Source organism: Homo sapiens, chromosome 8 (assembly GCF_000001405.40).
Source record: "Homo sapiens chromosome 8, GRCh38.p14 Primary Assembly".
NCBI classification, from domain to species: Eukaryota; Metazoa; Chordata; class Mammalia; order Primates; family Hominidae; genus Homo; species Homo sapiens.
The window spans coordinates 143191238-143199388 of NC_000008.11; the positions used below are offsets into that span (position 1 = coordinate 143191238).

The 8151-nt window shown below is 49.5% G+C and overlaps 1 long non-coding RNA gene across 1 annotated transcript; it reads left to right on the top strand.

Annotated features, from left to right (window-relative positions):
- The first annotated feature begins 321 nt into the window (after positions 1-321).
- Positions 322-7554, top strand: LOC107986906 (uncharacterized). The gene is made up of 2 exons (XR_007061137.1): positions 322-536; positions 3624-7554. It is a non-coding gene; the product is annotated as an uncharacterized LOC107986906 (long non-coding RNA).
- The last annotated feature ends 597 nt before the right edge of the window (positions 7555-8151 follow it).

Consider the following 8151-nt stretch of genomic DNA (forward strand, 5'->3'; position numbering starts at 1 on the left):
CAGAGGTTGCAGGGAGCTGAGATCGTGCCACTGCACCCCACAGCCTGGGCAACAAAGTGAAACTGTCTAAAAACACAAAAACAAAAAACAAAACAAAAAAAAACCCCACGAGACTGGGTAATTTATAAAGAAAGGAAGTTTAATTGACTCACATTTCCACAGACTGTACAGGAAGCAGGGCCAGGGAGGCCTCAGGAAACTGACAATCATGGCAGAAGGTGAAGGGGAAGCGGGCACAGCTTGTGGCCAGAGGGAGGAAGAGAGAGGAGGAGGAGGAGAGAGCGAAGCGGAAGGTGCCACGCACTTTCAAACAACCAGCTCTGGAGAGCACTCGCTCGCTATCACGAGAACAGCAAGGAGGAGCTCTGCCTCCATGATCCAATCACCTCCCACCAGGCTCCTTCACCAACGTTGGGGATTACAATTCAACAGGAGATCTGGGCAGGGACACAAACCCAAACTATGTCACCTGGGCACGGGGCAGCAGCTTGGATCTCCCAGGAGTGGACCCTGAGACAGGAAGGCCCGTGCTGGAGGTGGGTCAGGGAGTGCAGGAAGGGGTGGGAAGGACTGGGCGGCGGAGACACTGAGCCTCAAGGTCAGGCTTGGAAGACCTCACAGGGACTCTGCAGGGGTGGGGAGTACCCTTCCAGGTGGCTCTGAGCTGGGATGATGGGACAGGCCTTCTCGGCCACTGGGATCGGTCAGACATTGCCCATCTGTTGATCGAAACGTATCAGGAGCAGCGTTACCACCGGTACCTGCTGGCCCAGCCCAGCTCACTCCAACAGAGACAACCAGACCTTATATGCCTCATGACGTGGTGCAACGGGAGGCAGAAAGCACTCCTGAGCCTGGGCAAGATAGCATGACCCCATCCTTACAAAAAGTCAAAAAATTAGCCAGGCAGGGTGGTGACACTTGTGGTCCCAGCTACTTGGGAGACTGAGGCGGGAGGATTGCTTAAACCTGGGAGGTGGAGGCTTCGGTGAGTTGGGATCGCACCACTGCACTCCAGCCTGAGTGAGCGCAAGACTCTGTCTCAAAAAAAAGAGAAAGCCCTCCTGTAAAATATTCTCCCCAGACAATTGAACATGAATCTAATCAAGCCACACAGGAAATACAGAGGCTGGAGAAGCAAGTCCAAGGACAGCAAATTCCTACATGGAAACATCTACATGGAGCTGACTGCTCTCCCTAGAGGCCAGCATCACAAAAGAGCAGGCTGGGGTGACTGCCTTAGACAGAGGGAGACTTTAAGAACCCTAAAACCAAAACAACCAAATGCACATGGCCTTTGTTAGGAATATCCCATCAAATTATAGAAAGATGCTTTCACACAATCAGGAACACAGAGATGTAGACAGGTGTGTTAGTCCGTTTTCACGCTGCTAATAAAGACACACCCAAGACTGGGTAATCTATACAGGAAAGAGGTTTAATGGACTCACAGTTCCGCATGGCTGGGGAGGCCTCACAACCATGGTGGAAGGCAAGGAGGAGCAAGTCACGTCTTACTTAAATGGATGGCGGCAGGCAGAGAGAGAACTTGTTCAGGGGAACTCCCCTTTATAAATCCATCGGATCTCGTGAAACTTATTCATTATCACGAGAACAGCACGGGAAAGACCCACCCCCATGATTCAATCACCTCCCACCAGGTCCCTCCCACAACATGCGGGAATACAAGATGAGATTTGGGTAGGGACACAGCCAAACCGCATCAACACGGCTTCAGATCACATGACGAAATTATTCTAAATATTCGTGGGGGTGGTAACAGCATCATGGCTTTGTAAGAAAATGTCCCCTTTAAGAGAGTCACAGCAACATCACAGATGACGATGACATGTGGGATTAGCTTTTAAACACACGGTCGAAAGAGAGGCTGGGATGCCAGAGCAAGGGCAGCAAAGTGTTCACGGCTCTTGAAGCTGCATGAGGGGCGTGGAGTTCCCTGTGGGGTCCGGATATTTTCATAATGAGATGTTTGCATTCTCTCTAGTGTGCACTCAGAAGAGGAGGTGCATCCTATCCCTACAGGGCTCTTCGACTGCCCAAGGATGATGTTTTTAAAGTTGCCGAATTTCTGTCACTTATTTGTTCTGTCTTCTTTTAAGTTAGCCCAGAATCTCAGAGTCCCTGGCACTTGAAAGAAGCTGGGGCTAATTACAAGGAGAACAAATGGGGCCTGTGGAGGCAGAAGGACCTGGGCTCAGGTTGCAGCTCTATGCTAAGGTAGTTTTTTTATTGTGCTGTCTTGACCCAGTTTTGAGGCCCTGGCTAGAGACCGGTCAGTTCCCTCCTTGACCACGCCCTTTACGGCCCCTCACACTCCAGGCCACTGCACACCCTCCTGGATCGCCCCAAGGCTAAGCTCCAGACAACCGTGGACAGCCCTGTGCCCCAGAGCTCAAAATCGCCCAAACTAGCCAATCCACAGGGAGCCCAAGCAACCCAGCCACCCCACCTGCTGCCGCCCACCAGCCGCCCGGCAGCCCCAGCTGGCTGCTACCCCATCCCCGGGTGCCCCGTGTGGCCCTGCCCAGCAGCCTTCCTTGTTTGGAGCTGTAAGTGACAAAGCACTCTGCCTTTCTTCTCTGGAGTGTCAGCGTGCCATGCCCTACATCAGAAGAAACTTCAAAGTCTATAAAACAGACATAGGGCTGGGCATACTGGCTCATGCCTGTAGTCCCAGCACTTTGGGAGGCGGAGGTGGGAGGACTGCTGGAGCTCAGAGGTTTGAGACCAGCCTGGGCAACACAGCAAGACCACAACTCTAAAATATATATATATATATATATATATTAGCCAGGCATGGTGGTGCCCCCACTGCAGTCACAGCCACTCAGGAGTCAAAGGTGAGAGGATCACCTGAGCCCCAGAGTTTGAGGTGACAGTGAGCTATGATCATGGTATTGCACTCCAGCCTGGGTGACAGAAAGAGACTCTGTCTCAAAAAAATAAAAATAATAAAACAGACCTAGATGGGCCTGGGATGGGGCCCCAGTTCTGATGCTCACCATGTGTTTGCCCTTGGGTGACCTGCTGCTCCCTTGGCTTTCTTGCCTAAAGATGGGGACCCCAGATGCACGAGGCCAGTGCAGGGGCTGGGGGAGAGAACACAGGTGGTTGATGCCCAGGACCAGTGCAGGGGCTGGGGGAGAGGACACAGGTGGCTGATGCCCAGGACCAGTGCAGGGGCTGGGGGAGAGGACACAGGTGGCTGATGCCCAGGACCAGTGCAGGGGCCGGGGGAGAGGACACAGGTGGCTGACAAAGGTGGCTGATGCCCAGGACCAGTGCAGGGGCCGCGGGAGAGAACACAGGTGGTTGATGCCCAGGACCAGTGCAGGGGCCAGGGGAGAGGACACAGGTGGCTGATGCCCAAGACCAGTGCAGGGGCTGGGGGAGAGAAAACAGGTGGCTGATGCCCAGGACCAGTGCAGGGGCCGGGGGAGAGGACAGAGGTGGCTGTTGCTCAGGGCCAGTGCAGGGGCCGGGGGAGAGGACACAGGTGGCTGTTGCTCAGGGCCAGTGCAGGGGCTGGTGGACAGGACGCAGGTAGCAACCTTCGTAAAATGCCAAGCTTCGCAAATGTTGACTATAACTTCTCTCTACAGCTCCCAATACGTGTTATGTCTTCAGCATTCCCAGCCAGGCTATACACAGCTGGTACCCTTCAGTGAAGATGACCCCAGCCCAGGCGTAAATCCTTATCACTCTCAGCCAAGTGTGGTGCAACAGTCCATAATTAGTTTGCTCAAAGGCATGGAGAGTAACTCTGGCCCAGAGGATGTCTGCTAGGCGGTGATTAGAAAGGTCTCCTCACTCTGGACGCCACCTCCAGTAGGACAGATTGGTTTCCAGCAGGCACAGTCTCCCACCGATGATCAAAGAACCAGATAAATCACAAAACCATATTTTTTGAGACAATAGGGAGCTGGAGAAGCAATGAGAACAAGATAAACTAAAATTCCAGAGTCAAGAGACCGTTCAGAGCTGACCTGAAAATCCGCAGCCCCTTTGCTCTGAGGCAGTTGCTGACTTGAGGCTGGCTGAGAATGTGGCTCTGCACAAGGCAGAGGCTGCTGCTAAGGACAGAGAAAAAGGCAACACTTTTGGTGGCTATGCAGGCCCAAGCAACCGAATTGGAGAGTCAAAAGGCCTCAAACGTATGGTTGGTGTTCGCCATCATCCTGAAGCAGCTGGATTGATAGAACAGTGGAATGGGTGACAACTAGGTGATAATACTTTGCTGGGGCAAAGTTCTCCAGAACACTATGCATGCTCTGAATCAGCCTCCAGTATATGACACTGTTTCTCCCATAGCCAGGATTCACGGGTCTAGAAATCAAGGGGTGGAAGTGGCACCACTCACCATCACCCCTAATGATCCACTAGCAAAATTTTTGCTTCCTGTTCCCACAACATTACATCCTGCTGGCCTAGAGGTCTTAGTTCCAGAGGGAGGAACGCTGCCACCAGGAGACACAACAACGATTCCATTACACTGGAAGTTAAGATTGCCACCTGGACACTTTGAGCCCCTCCTACATTTAAGTCAACAGGCTAAGAAGGGAGTTACAGTGTTGGCTGGGGTGACTGACCCAGACTATCAAGATGAAATCAGTCTACTACTCCACACTGGAGGTAAGGAAGAGTATGTATAGAATACAGGAGATCCATTAGGGCATCTCTTAGTATTACCATGCCCTGTGATTAAGGTCAATGGGCAACTACAACAGCCCAAACCAGGCAGGACTACAAGTGGTCCAGACCCTTCAGGAATGAAGGTTTGGGTCACTCCACCAGGAAAAAAACCACTACCTGCTGAGGTGCTTGCTGAAGGCAAAGGGAATACAAAATGGGCAGTAGAAGAAGGTGGTCATCAATACCAGCTACGACCACGTGACCAGCTGCAGAAACGAGGACTGTAATCGTCAGGAGTATTTCCTGCTTATTTTGTTAAAAACATATTTGTGCATGTATACACTTGTACTAAGCAGATATCTTCATTTTATTTCCTTTTTCCTTTATCATGTGACATAAGATTCATTGGCTTCATATCGGCATTTAAGTATCGTTAAGTTTATGTAATAGTATTTGCGTTGGGGATGGGTGCACTTCCGGTTGTACGATGGATAGTTGTATTATGTTAGGCGTAATTATGACTTTATTATTGTCTTTATTTGAAGATTACGTATGATCTCAGATGTGTATGGGTTCAAGTTGACAAAGGGTGGACTTGTGATGGTTAATATTGAGTGTCAACTTGATTGGATTGAAGGATGCAAAGCACTGATCCTGGGTGTGTCTGTGAGAAAAACATGAAGAGACTGAACGGGCCTAGCCCGCCAGCCTGCATCTTTCTCCCGTGCTGGATGCTTCCTGCCCTCCAACATCAGACTCCAGGTTCTTCAGCTGTGGGACTGGGACTGGCTTCCTTGCTCCTCAGCTTGCAGACAGCTTATTTTGGGACCCTGTGATCGTGTGAGTTAATACTACTTAATAAACCCTCCTTTAGATAGATAGGTAGGTAAATAGATAGATAGATAGATAGATAGATAGATAGATAGATAGATAGATCCTATTAGTTCTGTCCTCTAGAGAACCCTAACTAATACAGTTGGTTTCATATAAATCTTAGAATCTGGCTGTCAATTTCCACACATGAAAACTAAAACCACAAAATAAGTGCCACTACCCACCCAGCAACATAGCTAGAACCGAAAAGGCCGACTATAGCAAGCATTGGCAAGGTTGTGGAGCAACTAGAGCTCGTTTACAAAACTCGTGGAAATAGGAATCGGTACAACCACTTTGGAAAAGTGTTTGGCAATGCCTATTAAAGCTAAGCACATACGTGTCCCACTCCGGGTATTTGCCCGGTAGAAATGAGGGCTTATGTCCACCAAAACATATGCGGAGAACGCTCAGAGCAGCATTCTTCTAAAAGCCAAAACAACACAGCCAAATGCCCCCAGCAGGGGAGCGCCGCAGGAGGCTAACGACGCCAGCATTTTCACACACCAACGCTGCACCCAGCAAAGCAGCTGACAGCGAGGGGACTCCCGGCACACACAGCAGCGTGGACGAACTCAGACGCATATTGTTCAATAAAAGAGGCCAGACTCCATACTGCGGGATTCCATTTATACAATGTTTTAAAACAGACAAAAAGGTAGCCTGTGGGGTTTCTGGAATGTCCCATATCTCAGTACGTGTGGCTCTGACACGTTATTTTATATGTGTGTGTCACATATGTATGTCACGCAGATGACATCATTTTGTCAAGGTGTGCGTTCCAGAGTTGCACATTTAAGCTCTATCTTAGTCCATATGTGCTGCTGTAACAGTACCTGAGACTGGGTCATTTACAACACAAAGAAATTGATTGGCTCACTGTTCTGGAAGCTGGAAGTCTGAGGTCAAGGTGACGACAGTTTCGGTGTCCAGTGAGGCTATTTACATCATCTAAGACGACACCTTGTATGCTGTGTCCTCCAGAGGAGAGGAAGGTGAGACCCTCACATGGCAGAAGGCAGAAAGGCCAAGAAGGGCCTTTTACAACAAAACGGCCTCCTCAGTCCTTTTACAACAGCACTAAACTCACCCAGGAGGATGTCCCCCTGACAGTCTACTCACCCTGCAGGCCCCACCTCCTAACACCATCACCTCGGCAATTAAACTCCAACATGAGCTTTGGAGGGGACAAACCTCCAAACCACGCCTGGCTAATTTTTGCATTTTTAGTAGAGAGGGGCTTTCACCACGTTGGCTAGGCTCTATATAAATTATACCTCAATTCTTCCAATGAAACAAACAAGGAGATTTGTGCAGGAATGTTCATAGCAGCACTATTTTAAACAGCCAAAATCTAGAACTCCCCAAAGCTCTTCCACTGTGGCATTGATAGGTACCTTTGGCGTGGTTGCGTGCGCACTGCCACATAGCACGGAAAGAACCAGACAACCCGATCCTCAGCAGTGCCGACAGACCTCGGGGCCTCCAGAAGACACCAGCAGAGACAAGCGCCTGCTAGAGGTTCCAAGCGCAGATGGTGGCCGGTTTACGACGGCTCGACTTAATGATTTTTTGACTTTACAATAGGCTTCTCTGGGTATTAAATGCATTTTCGACTGTGAAAGTTGTCAGAATCAAAATGAAGTCATGAATGTTAAGAAAATAACATTACCTGACAGACAGAGCCAGGGAAGGCCATAAAGAGTGGATTCTCAGGCTTGTATCCCCAACAGCAAAAAAGACTCTGCAAAAAACATAACCTCGCACAAAAGCCATCCCAGCCTCACACAGAAAATGCTTCTGCAAGGACATCTGCCCAGCGGCTGCCATCTAACCTCAGCATTACTCTTGTTATTGATCTTTGTGGCCAAGGATAATTGTCTCCAAACAATTGTGTGATCCTCCTCATTTTTTTCTTTAAACGTCTTTGTCTTCCTTCACCTCCCTGAACACACAGAGGCTACCACAACATGGGTGTTTCCATTGCAACGCTCTATCCTGAAATAAACATCTTTTCTTGCAAACAAACAACCTCTCTCTGTTATTTAGATTGACATGACTTACCATATTTTCTTTTCTTTTTTTTTTTTGAGACAGAGTCTCGCTGTGTCGCCCAGGCTAGAATGCAATGGTGCAATCTCAGCTCACTGCAACTTCCACCTCCCAGGTTCTCCTGCCTCAGCCTCCCAAGTAGCTGGGATTACAGGCATGCGCCACCACACCCAGCTAATTTTTGTATTTTTAGTAGAGACGGGGTTTCACCATGTTGGTCAGGCTGGTCTCGAACTCCTGACTTCATGATCCGCCTGCCTCAGCCTCCCGAAGTGCTGGGGTTACAGGCGTGAACAACCGCGCTCAGCCTCGACTTACCATATTTTCAACTTGCAATGGGTTTACTGGGACATAATCCATTTGTGAGTCAAGGAGCACCTGTATATAAAATGGGCCCAGCTATTCTATGGTATGAAAACTCAGGAAGCAGGCCACCCTTGGGGGTGGTAGTGCCTGGAAGAGAGAATGAGGGAGCCTCCCAGGTGCTGCTAAAGGACTGTTTCCTGGTCTAGAGGCTCATTCCGTGGATATTTCCAACTTGCAAAAGGGCATCATGCTGTATGCTTTATTTGT